This window comes from Homo sapiens, chromosome 16, assembly GCF_000001405.40.
Source record: "Homo sapiens chromosome 16, GRCh38.p14 Primary Assembly".
NCBI classification, from domain to species: domain Eukaryota; kingdom Metazoa; phylum Chordata; class Mammalia; order Primates; family Hominidae; genus Homo; species Homo sapiens.
The window spans coordinates 72,776,409-72,792,289 of NC_000016.10; the positions used below are offsets into that span (position 1 = coordinate 72,776,409).

The 15,881-nt window shown below is 41.5% G+C and overlaps 1 protein-coding gene and 1 long non-coding RNA gene across 14 annotated transcripts in view, besides 1 other annotated feature; one reads left to right on the forward strand and one right to left on the reverse strand.

Moving 5' to 3' along the window:
• Window positions 1-15,881, forward strand: part of ZFHX3-AS1 (ZFHX3 antisense RNA 1) — a 156,522-nt gene that overhangs the window by 111,276 nt on the left and 29,365 nt on the right. Inside the window, exons 4-5 of one of the 4 annotated variants that reach the window (NR_171705.1) lie at window positions 5,320-5,411; window positions 10,755-11,179. The exons of 2 other annotated variants lie outside the window; for them this stretch is intronic. This is a non-coding gene — a long non-coding RNA (ZFHX3 antisense RNA 1). Of the gene's footprint in view, window positions 1-5,319; window positions 5,412-10,754; window positions 11,180-15,881 lie in introns of those variants that run through there. One more of the 4 variants, NR_171703.1, reaches the window with a different exon arrangement.
• Window positions 6,477-15,881, reverse strand: part of ZFHX3 (zinc finger homeobox 3) — a 1,109,046-nt gene continuing 1,099,641 nt past the window's right edge. For all 10 annotated transcript variants that reach the window (NM_001386735.1, XM_047434166.1, NM_001164766.2 and 7 more), the window contains one exon: window positions 6,477-12,440. In NM_001386735.1, coding sequence (NP_001373664.1) covers window positions 10,756-12,440 — 1,685 coding nt within the window. In that variant the 3' untranslated portion in view covers window positions 6,477-10,755. The remainder of the gene's footprint in view (window positions 12,441-15,881) is intronic.
• Window positions 12,110-12,725: an enhancer, noted in NCBI's record as "H3K27ac-H3K4me1 hESC enhancer chr16:72822417-72823032 (GRCh37/hg19 assembly coordinates)". NCBI's record gives its function as "activates a minimal SCP1, AML or CMV promoter by ChIP-STARR-seq in naive H9 embryonic stem cells {active_cell/tissue: H9 hESC(naive)}" and the evidence as "EXISTENCE:reporter gene assay evidence [ECO:0000049][PMID:30033119]".

Below are 15,881 nucleotides of genomic sequence, written 5' to 3' on the forward strand. Positions count from 1 at the left end.
TGGGGACAAAATATTTTTAACCATTCCATCCTAATTTTATATAATTCCATATATACCCATTCATTCACTTAAGACCTTTCCCCCCTTAGCATAAAGATGAGAGTGAATACCCTTTATTTCATTCATTCTTTAATTAATTTACTCAGTTACAGGAACATTCAATGTAAATGCAGTTTATCAGGCTACCTAAGGATAAGACACATGCATGAATCACTGCCAAACAAGATATTTCATGTGCCACTGTAAGGAATCAGAAAAGGGATTGGGAAGATATGATGAGAGTAAATGTCATGGAACAAATGATATTAGATAAGCCTGTAAAGGTAGAGGGGAAAGTACAGGTTGTGTTTGGAAGGTAGGCTGGTTTTGGTGTAACAGATTATCCACAGATAAGTATAGTGAGAAAGGTAGCCTGGAACAAATACTGAGTTATGAAAGCAGGTAATGAGTTAACACTTTAAGAATTTCACTTATCATGGATGTATTGTATGCCCAATTTAAGTGGGAACTAAGTTTTGCAAAATAAATAAACATACAGAAGACATTATTTAGGTTTAGCCAAAATGACTAGCATCTGCTGGGGTCTAACTTTTCTCACTCCTTTATATTACTCAGTGTAGTGAATTCACGTCAGAGTGAGAGCTATACTTTCAAATCAATGGATTTCTTTGAGCCACATTTGGTTAGCCTGTAAAATATCTGTGTGAAGGAAGACATTGAAATGTGTTTTTTTAAAAAGGCTAGAATAACTTTATGAATAGTGATAACTCTTGTAGTTAAGGGGAAAGAGCTAATATATTGTTTTAGGGTCAGTCATACATCTGCTCCCTCATATTTCTGGGCTGGCTTACAACTTCAAAACCTAAGAGACAGTTTTCCCACTCTATGTGGCATTATGGCAAAGCAAAAAAAGGTGGCTAGAAGAATTCATATGTTTGCCTACCTTTCTTCCATCTCTGATCATTGTAAGCAAAAGGATGAATTAGTTGCAACCTTAATCTTAAGAGGTCAATCAGCACCTTATGTCCAGAGAAGTCTGCTGGGAACGTCAGGTTCCTGTGTTCAAACTTTTTGGGAAATTTCCTAAGTGTTGGTAGCACTTTGGAAAGGTATGCAGGACTCTTACCACATATATCTAAAAAATAAATTTGATTTCAGCTTCTAGCAGAGATGGAATAATAGAGACCAGATGTACCCTCCCAGCTGAAACAACAAAAAAATACAGAACAAAATATATAAAAGAATGGTTTTCAAGGTACTAGACATCACACAGTGAAGGACAGTGATCCCAGAGAGATGAGAAACAAACAAGGTGAGCCCTATGATTATCCCACCTTATTGCCTTGAAAGTTTCCAGGCCACAGCACAGGGTGAGGAACCTGAGTGAAGCCCAGCAGACTCCCTGAGTTGAAGAGATAAAGCTGAGTCTAGGGAGACCAAAGCAGCTAGAATTGTTAGGACAAAGTGCCACAGGAAAGATGAAAACCTGGAGATCTTCATGGGGTCCCTCATAAGTATTCAGAAAAGTACCAATTACTTTTGGCCCTGGAAAGAACCGAAAGCATAAAAGGGAACAATATTTGATGCTCACACAAGATGGGGAACAGTTCATGGGACATTTGAGTAGAGCATCAGCACGATCATTCTGCAGTAGTGGCGAATAATTAGCTCTAGAGTAAATAGTGCTCTGGTTCTGCTCGAAACAAAAACAAGACCCAAAGGGATCACAATATTTCCAAATAACTTAAGTGCATCCCAGAACAAAGCTTAAGGAAATTTATAGGAATACAAAAATATCCAGGACCCAACAAGGTAAAATTTACAATGTCTAGTAGCCAATCAAAGATTGGCAGGCATACAAACAGGCAGAAAGACAATAGCCTTAATGAGAACAATCAACTGAAACTGTTTCAGAATTTACACAGATGTTAGAATTAGCAGAGGATGATGGTAAACAATTATTGTAACTGTTTTTCATATGTTCAAAATTTAAGGAGAGGCATGAAAGGTATTTTGAAAGACCCAACTTAAACTTCTAAAGATAAAAACTTTAATATCTGAGATGAAAAAATACACTGGATGGGATTAATGGCAGATTAGAAGAAAATATTAGTGGACTTGAGGGCATAGCATTGGAAACTATCCAAAAGGAAACACACAGAGAGAAGAGTAAGCAAACAAACAAGAAACCAAACAAACAAATGAAAAACTTAGAGCATCAGTAAGTAATGGGTTAACTTCAAGTGGCCTAATAACTATATAATTGGCATCCCTTTGGGGGCAGGGTGGGGGTGGTGGCAGGGGAAGTGAAGGGAGAAGGGACAGACAAAATGTGTTTGAAAAATAATGGCTAAAAATCTTCCAATTTTGATGAAAAGTAATTCCCCACAGATCCAAGAACTCAACAAACCATAAGCACAAGAAACATGAATGAAACTACACCAAAGCACATCATAATGAAATTGTGATGTGATAAAGCTAGTGATAAAGAGAAAATTAAAAGCAACTAGAGAAAAAAATACATAAAAAATAAGGATGATAGCAGATTTGTTACTGGAAACCATGCAAATGAAGCACCAGTGGAGCACTACCTTTAAAGTACTCAAAGAAAAAAAATAAATTAAGCTGAATACAAATCACACTTTGCTAACTGTTCAAAGTGTCAAACTTACAACCATGTAACAAAGACACTGTATGACGATGTCCTATCTACAGGCAGTATGACAAAGCTACATTTATGGGTTGTTATCCTCAGAGAAAAAGAAAAATCACCCACCAGTCATTCTCTAGTAAAGAGGTCTTTACTAGCCCTCTGATATCAATATTGGCAACTTTCTTTCTGAGGCCATCCTTGTTCTGATTAAAAATAGACAAAGTTCACAGATAGGGCCTCCTAAAGCCTGTATCCTAAAGCTTGATGAGTTCTTACCTGCAGAGGCTATCATAGAAACACTCTAATTGAGTCTTTTCTCTCTGCTGATTTAGTTTTTACCCATTTTTTTTTCCATGCGTCTTTTAAATATTTATTTTGCAGCTTACTCCAATAATAGTATTTTAAAAACCTCTTCCTGGGTCTAGGGGTGAAGAGATCCTCTTGCTGCATTCTTTTGCATGTGTTCCCCTTTCAATTTTGTTTCACCTACAATTAATTCATGCGGAGTCTCATTTCAGATGCTACACTTCTCAACTTGCACATCTGAACCACCTCAAATCAGGTAGTGGGCAAACTGTCACAGCATATTCTGTTTTCCCTATTCTGTAACCCCGTACATCTAAGGGGCTCATCTTTCAAGGCATGGTGAAGCAGACATACATATTGTCTTGGAAACAAAAGCAAACTACAAGCCATCTTTTCCTCATGTCCAAATTAATTACTACTGGTGGGCATTGAAATACTATAACCCAAACTCCTATACCATACTCCTGTACAACTCGTGAGCAGAAACCTCCTAAAGGATCTCTGCACCCTCTGATATATGTATAGACAGGAAAATGTCAGAAATAAATGTATGACAGAGGCTTGATGGCACTTAACTTTACAGCTGCAGTTCCCAAACCTCTGTGAAGGAAAGCCAAGTTTAGAAAGCAGCAGTTCCAAGGGGCCTACAGAAAGGAGAGGTGGAGAGGTCATAATGACTGATAGTAACAGCCGATTTTTAGCACTTAGTATGTACCAGGTGGTGTCCTAAGCATTTTACGTATATTAATTTATTTAAAATTCACAACTCTATGAAACAGGTACCATTACCCTCATTTCACAGTGGGAATAAATAGCTAAATCAAGGTCACCATGATGGAGCCAGAATTTGAAACCTGTCAGTCTGACTCTGGAGCCCCTACTCTCACTCTTCTGTAGTCTCTCAAGAAATAGTGTGATGGGGGAAGAGCACTGGATGAAGGCTAAACACCTGGTTAGTGCCTTCTCCCCTCATTACCTCACTATCCTGAATACTGGGGATAAATGTCACCCACCTTGTCTACCTTACAGATCATTTGAGGAACAAACAAGAAGTATGTAATTTTACAAAATATTTTTACAAGTGTTATGCAAATATAAGGCATACACAGGAATTAAAAGAGCAGCAATGTATGAGAGGGCGTAGGAGAGTAGTGTATTAAGTAGGAAGGCAAGGAAGAATGATGTTAAAAAAAAAAAGCTGTGAACATTGCAGAGGTAGAGAATAGCCCCCGCTGCCTTTCTCCATTGTTACTATTAGTTACTGCTCAGCACTCACTTCTCAGGCCAAGGGATCTTGGCCCAAAATTAAAACAGTTTATCCGAGATTTTTCATTCCCATGTTAATAAGGGATTGAAAAGTTTAATTAAATAGCCTCTTTGTTCATCTCTTCTACATAGAATAAGAAGTGAACATACATAAAGGATCAAAAGCAAATTTATTTATGTTGCTTGTAATTTAAAAACTCAAGAAGACAGATTCAGAGGAACCCAAGCTTACTGACTAGGAATCCTAAAAACAGATGCCTCTAGTTTAAGAAAAGAATGAAACAAGGAGGGAAGGAAAATACCTACCTTCATCATGAAGTAAGGAATGGAAAACTGCCTCTTCCTCAGTGGTTCTGAGAGCACTTATTTCTTTGCAAGTTTTTCCAGAACCTTGGCTGTTTCATCCCCAGCAGTAATGTACAGAGGCTGAGTGAGCACATCTGTCCTGCTGCACACTCTGTAAGGCTGCAGAGCAGAGCAGCAGGTGCAAAATTCTCATCCTTCAACTTGACTCTTAAACTGCATGTGCTCTTGTAACTTAAAGTCTAAACTTGTTAAAAGTAAGGTTTGGAAGGTCATTAGTCTGTAACAGGGAGGGGTTAGGCGCTACAGACGTTTCTTTAAAGCAGAATTAGAAACAGCTACCTAACACATATCTGCCATTTTCAGATAGTGCCATTTCATTTTCCAAGGGAGAGAAAGCCATTAATTCATCCATATGAGGATGATACTGAAGCCAGACTGGAAGACTTCTTTTCCCTTAAGAAAAACAGATTTTCCAGTAACAGAAAGAGCTTCAGTCTTTTACCCAGCCCTTCCTTAATGTAACTTAGGTGTTCAGAGATTCTCTGATACAAAGGGCTCAACCATCAATAAAGTTTTGTCTTATTTTCTTGTTAGAAATTTATCTGTAGGAGAATTTGAATTGTAGTCACCTTCCTCCAAAGAGCTGAAGCAGCAACACCTCTCTGCAAAACTAGTTCCATTTAAAATGTTTCAATGCAATCCTGCCAGATCCTAAAATAATTATAGTTTAGAAAGGCAGACGTGGCTTTGGGTCTCAACAAGTTTTATCCCACTGTACCTTTTCACAGGGTGGGAAGAGAGATCAGCAACGTTAACTGGGTGTCAAGAAAACATACCGAGATTGAAGCCATCCACTTCTGCAGGAACACCGAAAAGAAAGGTACAACGCTTGGGGAAAGACTGGATTTCATTAGGGACAGTGACAATACCTGTTTGACATAGAGGTTCCAGCGCTGGCCAGGGAACTCCCTGAGCACTAGTAATGCCAGTGTCAGTTGTAGAATTCTTTTAAAATTTGAGTTAATAGGGTCACTACTTTTTGAATGCCTGCTGCAGAAACTAAGAAAAATGGCTGGCTGAGCCAATAGAAGAGGATTTTGTAGCTCAACTCCTGGGGAAGAAAATACTCCTTTTGACGGAGGGCAGGTGCTGTAGACCTTGCAAGGACATAGCCAGTCTGCAATGTCATCTAGGCCCACCCGCTAAAGTTTTAAAAGTAAAGTAAAGTATTTATTAGCTGTGGCTATAAATTAGAGATGAATGGAAGGTCTTCAGGCCTGATCTTGGAGGCATTCCTTATTAATGAAGTTCAAGCATTTGCTGTGGTAGGGGAGGGTTTTTGTAAGAGGACTGAATCATCTCTTGTATGCAGACATTACTGATACTGCTGTTGTGCAGACTGGGCCTCTCAAATTCTGCTCTAACAGAGGTTTAGAAAAGTCTTTTGCTAGGACAGGTAAATGTAGTCAGTTATCCATTAGTTCAACTTACCGTTCATATCTTTCTGTCATAAACACTAGATCCAATTCCCATTTCAAAAAAGTTGAACCTACCTTTCTCATGGCTATCAATCAGTAAAACTTTTTTGCCTGCAATTGTGTCAAGCATCAAAAACTTTCATATAAATATTTGAATTAAAAATCTAGTTGCTATTAGGGCACTCTAGGGCCAAATATCGTCCAAGATATCAGACTCACCCCTCCCAATGAAGAAACGCAGACGGCATCATGGCCCAAACTTCTGACATTCATGAGCCCCAGGAGATGGGAAATACAAGCGTCTTTAGAAACACTAAAGGGCTCGTGTACATCCTTTTGTACCTTGGGATAAGTACTCCCTGCACACACAACCTCAAGGTATTCACATTTATACTTTGCCAGCCATCAGCCTCTCTCTCCTGCACACACACATGCATGTGCACAAATGTGGTAACAGAGACAGGAGCTTTTGCTCATATTTTTTTTTTAATGTATCACAATGAGCAGGAAACATACTTGATGAAATATTTTCAAAGGAGTATATTCAATTACCATCTACAATCAACTTAACTATGACAACAAAGTTTTTGTGACAAATTTTTTTTTCAGTTTGAAAGTTCCATGTGGTTCTGTTTGTTAGTCTCCATGTATTTTGGTACAGTTCGAGATCAGCATTGTTACAGTAACAAAAAAGCTAACAAGACTACATTATAGAAAAACACCAAGAACATCATTTTTGGTTTCACTTGCTCTATTTTTTTTGTTGTTTTTTGTTTTTTTTTCTTTTTGTACATTGCAAAGGCTGTTCATATACCTCTTCACCTCAGGGTCACGTTCATTTATGCTTTCTTTCCTACCCAAACTTGCCCCCCTCCCCCCTGAAGAAAGTAAACAAACAAAAAACTAGTCAAAGCTTTGTTTCACAGTGGGCAGTATCTCAGCGCCAACAAACAACTCAATTTATGCTTCTATTTAAAATGTTTTAATTTATTATTTAAAAAAAATATATGTCCATGAACATCAAGTGCACTGGCTTGGGTCACTGCCTCTCTCTCCTGCAACTTCCTGCCATGCCTGATAAACTCAGGTTTAAACACATGCCGTCTGTTTTACTTTATTTTCAATTGTGTAAAACTTTGGCCACATTCATCTCTTTAAATAGCTTGTAATTAAAAAAAAAATTCCTAGATGTATTAAATTTTTCCTTGTGTAGATATGTGGTTTTTGGAAGGATGGAGGAAAGATGGATGAAATAACTCCCATTCTGTGGGTCAGACTGGTGTCTAGCACCAACCCACACTATAGGGAGAAAACCAAAAAACGAGTGTCAATGGAGGTGAAGAACTAATTTAAAAAGCAAGTGGAAATATATCCTACCCAGCTACCTACAATGCAGCAGACAGGAATAAATTCCCCAAGTGAGATAAAGCTAAACAAACAGTTGAGCATTGTAGTGAATTCATGCTTTGTAAATAGTACTGGTCATAGCCACGATGGCTGTCAGCCCACAAACATCTAACTCATGTTTGACCTCTAATGTTCACCATCACTGACTGCTTTGCTACTTCTGGGTTAGTGCTGAGAATTATTCTTACTTTTTTCAATGAACATATATGTGGGCGGTTTAGTTGCAGAGGAAAGCATTAAGGGTGCAACCCACTCCAGGTTGAAACAATCACATAACCCCTCTGAGAACACTAGGTGGGTGGAAGTGTGCTCAGCCAATCTATTCAACCACCTTATTGTCGCCAAACACCCACAGCTCAAGGCATGGCATAACAAAACACTGACAGTCACTCTGCCTCACAGAGGGAGGATGGCATAGTAGCTCCATGAAAAAAAAAAACAAAAACAAAAACAAAAACCCAAACCATCAGGGAGGGGGCAGCAAAATTATAAAGAAAAGAACTTAAAAGTTGAGGGGGGAGGGAAAAGGATAGAAATTGCACTATTACCAAGCAATATCATTTTTAAAAACAACGTTTTCAGAGAAGACCTAGCAGAATTTGACAGGTAAAGCTAGTGTTACATTGTTAACTGATATCACATAGAGAACCAAAAACAAAAACAATTTTTTTTCTATATGGTACAGACACAGAGTAACATACAACAGTTAAATGGCAAAAAATATATATATATATATTTCATAGAGTTACAAACAAGATAAAATAATGGAAAACAAAAAACTGTACAACTTTAAAATTTAAAAATGTTCATCTCAAACACAGGAAGAAATACAAGATTTCTTGTTAAAAGGAAATAGCTTGTTAAAACAGTAAATGTTTTGCGTACTTGCTTTTGACACCTTATGCTACAACTGGATACTGGTATGAATAGTTAGATGGTATTCTTTCTTTAGTATTTCTACTTAAAAAAAACAATTAAAAAAGGAATTTGCACTGTGCATCAGCCTAGTTAGAAATATGTACAACATTTCAGGATCTACTATTTCATTAAACTAAAAACAAATTCATAAAAATAAAATAGTCCCGGCTAAAAAAGAAAAAAAGAAAAAAAATCCATTTTCAGATCTTGGAATGCTCCAGTCTTTTGCAAAGTCGATGAGTGGCTTCAGCACTGGGGAAAGAAGCCCGAAAGGTGACCAATGGAACCTGTATTCACAGTCTTCAAAGTTCCCTTTTGAAACATAAGGAAGAAAACGAAGGGAAGAAGGATTTCACACTTTGGGGGCAAGGGGAGATGGTTTCTGTTGATGTTTAGCTATGAAAGTGAAACAGCAAAGCATCTATTTATTTGTCTCCAAAATCTATGTTTTAGCAGCACAAAGTTTTCAAAGTTCAGACCATTTATTTATTTTTCTTTTTACATGAGAAAGGGTGTGTGTTAACAGGAATATGGATATTAACAGAAACAAGTGCCTCACATACAGTTCCTTTTTTGCTTTCTGTACACTGCTATCTGCTGCTTTGTTGGCTGCGCTCTGGATCACTCGCTGCTCAGACTGCCTAACACAAGGACAAAACTTTGAAGTAAAAAATGTGTCTTTTGGTATATGGAATTGTCATTAACATTTGCCTCTCTGCTTGCAGAAGAAGCACATAACAACCTGGGAATCTTTTGTTTTTCTCTTTCTTTTATTAAACTAAGTCTTGTTTGTTTAAATCAGAAACAAATTCTCAAGTAACAAGAACCCTTTCCCTTTTTTCTGCATCAGCAGTGAAAGGGTGTGTCTTTGGATTTTATTTAAAGCATGAAATTTTTTTTTCTGAGAGAGGAAAGAAAAAACAAACACAAAACCAAAAACCAAATCCCTAACCAAAAACTTTTTTTAGAAAAGAAAAGTACACAGCCAATTACACAAATGGAAACAAATCCTTTAGTATAGAAAAAAAAAGAATATTTGAAGCTCCTACCAAACAAGGAGGAAAAGAAGGGGTACAAAGAAAAAAAAGCCAAAAGAAGGATAAATAAAAAATAAATGCACAAAGCTAACAGACACAGGTAACTAGAATTATATGCCTTTAAAAAGTTTCAACTCCCCAACCAAAAATAATCTGTGAGGATCCTAATGACCCCTAGAATCCCTTGAAATTCTTTCTTTAGTTTTATAAAATAATTCTGCAGCTCCCTCTAAGAAATGAAGGCAGCTACCTTAAGTGGGAGATTATAGGACGGGAGGTGGGAGAAGGAAAGAGAAAGTGGAATTAAGGGACAAGAAAGAGAAAGTGGAATTAAGGGACAAGGGGAGAAAAGCTTAGGCGAATCAACGGATTGCAATCTATCATCTGCTAGGAATGAACAAGACAACATCAAATGAGGAGCTGTCAGCTGGACCATACAAAAAGCTAAATGTACACAAAAGGTTTTTTTTTTTTTTTCCTTTTAAATCTACCATACTGCTTCAGTTCATTTCCAATGCAACAATCTACTCAACACCAAAAATGGTCATATCTATCATAAATACAGAAAGTCAGTTTTTAAAACTTATTTTTTTTAAGCTACAAGTCCTCAACACTCTTTGTGTGTGTGGGTTATTATTTTTTTTTTTTTTTGAAAGTGGGAGTGCTTAACTTTTCCCCTTGAAATTGGCTTCAGCAGAAAAGCTATCCTTAAAAATCCCCAGAAAGCTAAAGCAGTTCACATTGTTTTTCTTGAATACTTTCTGCCCATTTTTAAGTTAACAAAACAAAAAATCTTTTCTGGAACAAAAAAAAAAAAAAAAACTGAAAAAACAATAATATATAAAACAATGATTCTGAAAACAAAGTGTGAGCGATTGACCTGAGAATAAAAAGACATTACATTTCTTTTTTTCTTTTAGCAAGCCATTGGTATCTGAATGCTAAGATAGCAAGAAATTTAAAACTGTAACAAGGTGGACTGCTTTCCCATACAGTGCATGCCGGGCTCCTCTGTGCTATCAGCGTGGGGCGTTTATTGAAAAGGGGCAAATATACAAGGGGTTTAAGCTCCAAAGACATTAGGGAGGCCCTGCGGACTTCTGTTTCCCAGACCAATAGTACCTTCAAAAGGACACAATGTAACAGGGTTAGGGCTTTTTTTTTTTTTTTAATATTAAAAGAAAAGAAAAAGACAAGAATGTAAAATCACCGGCATAGATAGGTATATGGGAAAACAACCCACGCTTTTTCTTTTTTTTCTTTTTTTTTTTTTTTTTGTTTTTTGGTTAGAAGCTTTGGAATTGCAGTTAGTCTATTTTTGAAATTGGTTTGTTATTAATTTTTGTATTTAAATTCATTTGTTTGTATTGTTCATCTTCAAAGCTTACAATCTGAAGGTGTCCGTTCCTACACTGGTCAGACCACTGTCCTTGGGGCAGCTGGGGTCTTTGGGACCCTCCACCGGGCTCGCCGGTCCGTCGGACTTTTGGCTGAGATCCGTGTCAGACTCCTCCGAATAGTCGTCTGTTGGCATCGAGGGCTGAACCCCTGAGGTGCTGCATGAACTTGAGGTAACCGTTGAAGATGAGGAGAGAGGAGGAAAAGAAGGGGGCTTCGCTGCCGAAGCCCGGGAGACCACTTGCGGCCAAGACTTCCTGGAGGCGTGGGGGGAAGCGGAGGAGGGGGCGGCGGCCGACGGGGGAGGGGGGCTGTCGTTTGAGTGAGCGGCAGACTGCGAGGTAGATGCGGTGCTAGGATCGGGGAAGCAGGCAGAGTGAGGTAATAAACTAGGGTGCTCTTTGGCGTTTCTTGCTGCTCTCGTGATTGTTCTGTGTTTGTGCAAGGCCGACTCGAGATGTTGACTCAGAGCTTCCTCCCCACAGAGCGCGCTCTCGCACGCCAGGCAGTGGTACGAGCCGCCGCCGCCGCCGCCGCCGCCACCGCCGCCGCCGCCGCCACTGCCACCGCCGCCGCCGCCGGTGGGGACGTGAAGCACCATCTCTTGCAGGTTCACCACAGACTGGCCGAAGAAGCAGAGGGACTTCAGGTGGCTCCTCGCTGCCTCCTCGTCGCTGAAGCCCGCCTGGCACTTGCGGCAGACCAACTTGTACTGCACCTTTGGAACAATGAAGGGGTCGTAGAGGGAGTCCGCACTTTTGCTTTCTGCTTCTGGCTCTTCAGGGAGTTTCGGCAGGAGGGGGGACACCTCACGGGGGGTGTTTTTCTGTTCTTCTGGTTTGGGGGATTCTTTGGCAGGGTCTTTGTCTGGGGAAGGAGCCCCGGGGGGGACTGGGGTTTGGCTTGCTTTGGGCTGCTGCTGCTGCACTTTTTGCTGCTGCTGCTGCTGTAGTTGCCGCTGCTGCTGCTGCTGAATTGCCTCCTGCAGACTCTGCTGGTATTGCTGGTACTGCTGCAGTAGGGAGCCTGGGGACAGCCCCATCAGGGCCTGCGACAGTGCAGGGCTGTAGGGGAACAGGCCTTCCATGCCATACATAGGCTGCAGGTACCCGCTCTGCAGGGCGCCAGGGATCTGGGGAGCATAATAAGGAGAAAAGCCTGGTACAAAGTAAGGAAGGAACTGGCTTGTGAGCAATGCTGTGGGGTCCGAAGTCAACGCGGCCTGCAGGGCCTGCAGCTGTGCAGGGTCTACCGCATACTCCATGGTGGGCAGCGGGGCTGAGATCGTGGCTGCAGTTGCCGTGGGGGCCTCTCCTTTCTCCTTCTTGGGGACAGGCAGGGGTTCCCCTTTCCCTTTGTGTGCCTTTTCCTTCTCCTTTACTTTCTCACTGTCTTTGTCCTTGCGTTGCTGCTGCTGTTGCAGTGGGAGCTGTGGTGTGGGTGGCGGCTGGGCTGCTGGCGGCGGGGGAGGCTGCTGCACCTGTGGTTGCTGCTGCTGCTGCTGCTGCTGGGGGGGTTGCTGAGGGCCCATCGCCATCGTGGCTTGTGCTGGGGTTGGGGAGCTCAGCGACGCTGAGGACGGTTTATTTGGTAATCCAGAAGTGGGGAGGCCAGGGGAAGGAACAGTTGTGCTGGGCAGACCCATCAAGTTCGGCTTAGGAGACGTTAAAGCTGAAAGGAATGGAGACAGAAATCACCGGTCAGTCTGGGCAGGGGTAGGGCTGAAGCTCAAGACGTTTTACCGGTGTCACTGGCACACAGTTTGAGATGTCAAGGCTTGAAGGATCCTCTCAAAACGAACATTTCCAACAGAAGTATCCCACCAGGCTCAGGGCTGGACAACCTTGTATTCTAATGAGGACTCAGTCCTAGGTCAGCTCCCATACTTCCCCTTTCAGCCAAACAACTTCCAGAAGTATCCCACCAGGCTCAGAGCTGGACAACCTTGTATTCTAATGAGGACTCAGTCCTAGGTCAGCTCCCATACTTCCCCTTTCAGCCAAACAACTTCCAGAAGTATCCCACCAGGCTCAGGGCTGGACAACCTTGTATTCTAATGAAGATTCAGTCCTGGCTAGCTCCCATACTTCCCCTTCCAGCCAAACAACTTCCAACACCTTCCTGCCCAATGTGCCACACCCGCTAGTTCACATTTTCTTTGCCAAGTACTCCCAGCTACCATTCACTCTGCCCAACTGCAATTAGTCTAGAGGCCCCAAAGCTAGCTGTTTCTAGCTGGGGCCCATTTGCACCAAAGGCCTTCATCACAAAAATAGTATGGCCACGAGGTCCCCAGAGAAGTTATCTGGAGGAGAGCGGCAACAGGAGAAGAGAGAACGAAGGCAAGAAAGCTAGCACGGCCACATGAACAAAAACAAAACAGGCTCTACAGGTGTTCCTCCTCTCTGACCTCTGTTGCTGCAGCTGACTGGATGCTTTCGGAGGGTAGAGAGAAGATGATGAATAGGAAAGTGTGGAGGAAGGGCCTGGGAAGAAATAAGAACAATCCATTCAGGGAAAATTGCTTCCATGCCTTGGCCCAGCTGACCTGCTTCAACAAGTCTACTCAACAGTATAACCGCCTAGGAATAGGAATCTGGAATCTGCGGGAGAAACGACCATCTTCTTTTCCTGCCCCTGTTTGAATGATACACAGGAGGGCCAGTGGGACTGTAGATGGTTGAGAAACAACCGCAGGAAAAGCAGAAAAGCCATGTCAGAAGTGGAATAGCCCAAGATACTGACACCAATTCCCAAGACATCACAACCTACCCGAAGCACCACTGCCTATGGATAGCAAAGGTCTGACCATATCACCAGGCCCTCATGGGCTAGAATCCCATCCTTGATCATACCCCTAATCTACCACCACTCCCTGCAACGCCTTCACCAACCCGAGAGCCTAATACCCTCCCTGACCCATAGCTATCTCCTGGTTTGAGTCACCAGGTCCAAGGTAATGCAAGAGGGTGTTGCTACGGATGGTACTCCAAGCTTCAGGTGTGTTGAGACTAGCAAGATAGTAGGTAAGGACAGCATGGGGGTGGGGTGCAGTGTGTGCTGGACGATGAAAAGCTGAGAAAACAAAGAGGAGGATCCCACAGGCAACAGCTCTCAGAACACCTCTATATTCACCATATCCAAGAAACTTGATGGTATATACATCTCTTCAGAGGACACCAAAATGCAAAATCAAAATCTTACTTCATCTGGACCTCACCTGCTGGAAAGCTGGGGAAGGAGTTCCATAACATGACACTGAGGAAAAAAAAGCAAGAAAAAGCACTCTGAAGCCCAGACTTGGGGGAAGACTGCAGATTTCTGGCTATCATGGTAGTGTTCACCATCAAAACCCTCAGATTTCAGACGAAAAGAACAAGACTGCTTCAAATTGCCAATCCCAGACAAACAGCTGTTAATACTGGATAGCCAAGGAGAAAGGTTCCTTCAGCATCTCATCATGCAGTGTCCTCAGTGCACATAAGACACCAGAGAAGATATGTGTGACTCTACTCAGAAAAGCTTAGTAAAGACTTGTTGGTTAAATTGGCACAAACAAGACAGAGTAGATTATGAGTTCTAAACTTGGGACATGGCTCTGTCTCCACTAGGCAATGGGTCTGCTCTCAGTGGGGCAAGGAAGGAATATTTAGAGATTTCCCCATCCCCATGGCTCCAGACTTCTAGGAGAAAGATTCAGGTCAAAAAGCCTTAAACTGTGTGTCTTCAACTGATGGTCTATATAAGAGGTTCAAATTTTAAGAAACGTTTACGAATCTCTACTATTTACCAAGCCTTGCACTAGCCATGCTAGACACAGTAGCTCAACACACTCACAACTCTGTGACATCCTTTTTCTGATCTGTAAGATCAGAATCAGGCAAGGTACTTCATCCCCCCTAGACTTACTCCTACAAATCTGGAGTCACACTGACCCTGTGGGATTATGGTCACACACATCAGACGTGTGACCCTGGGACTTTCGGTTGAACTCTTGGAACCTCAGCTTTCCATAACAGATGGTTATGAGGATTAAATGAAAGACCACATTGATAGAAAAAGCTTAGCATTGGGCCTGACATATAATAGATGTTTAATAAACACAAGTTTGTTCCTTCCCTCCCATTCCAGATCCGGTGTTTTTGAGAACTGTGTTACGGTCAGGTGATGATAACTGGGGCATGTCTGCTGCCCTGAATAAATAAGAGCTTATCTTTCTATCTCGAGTCCACTCTAAGTGGTCAGAACTTGAGTAGCACTAAACATATACCTGTTGACTGACTGGCTCATATTGGGTGTTGTGGAAGGAGCACATAGCACCTGGGAGCCCAGAGGCCTGGGTGGAAGCTCTGGCTCCTACCCTAGCTTGTTGAATGGTCTTGACCTCTCTGGCCCTCAGATTTCTCATCTGTAAAACAAGCGGAATAAATCATACATTCTGATTCTACTTTTTTTTCACATTACTATGATGTGTTAAGCCTTCCCAAGCCCCTCTGCCAGGGTCCTGGGCTGCAGGGGTAATTAAATGCTTCTCTATTTTCCATAGTTTGTTTTCCTGGCTTATGTCTAGCTGGCTTTCTGTGACATGACTTGTCAACACATATAAGCAACAACTTCTATGTCTTAATGCTTTCTTTTCTTATTCTCTTTGAATAAGAAATGGGGACCAGGAATGCAGTGGCCTTATGTTTGGTAAAACACCACTCAAAGTGTAAAATGTGGAACTAATTCAACCAGAAACTAAGATTGCTGTGGGAAGCAGCACAGCTGCTTTAACCCCTGGGAACAGGGACACATTTTGAAGGCAAGGTAGCATTAGGAGGGGTTCTCCTTTGGTGAACTGGAACTAATCAATTCAGGCCATTGTGGGGGGAATTTGCAGACTTATGTCTAAGCCTAACAGGACCCTGGAGGTGAAGGTCCAATTTAGCAAAGATGGCTGGATCCAGAGAAGATGTGAGGACAGAGAAGGAGAAACAAGAGAAGTATGTAGGAAGAACTGCAAAACTCCCTATTAAGTGAGACTATAAGAGCAACAAATATGTATGATTCTCAGTGATCAGGAGCAAGGAAAAGGAAATGGGCAAAAGGAAAAAAAAGAGGTGACTGAGG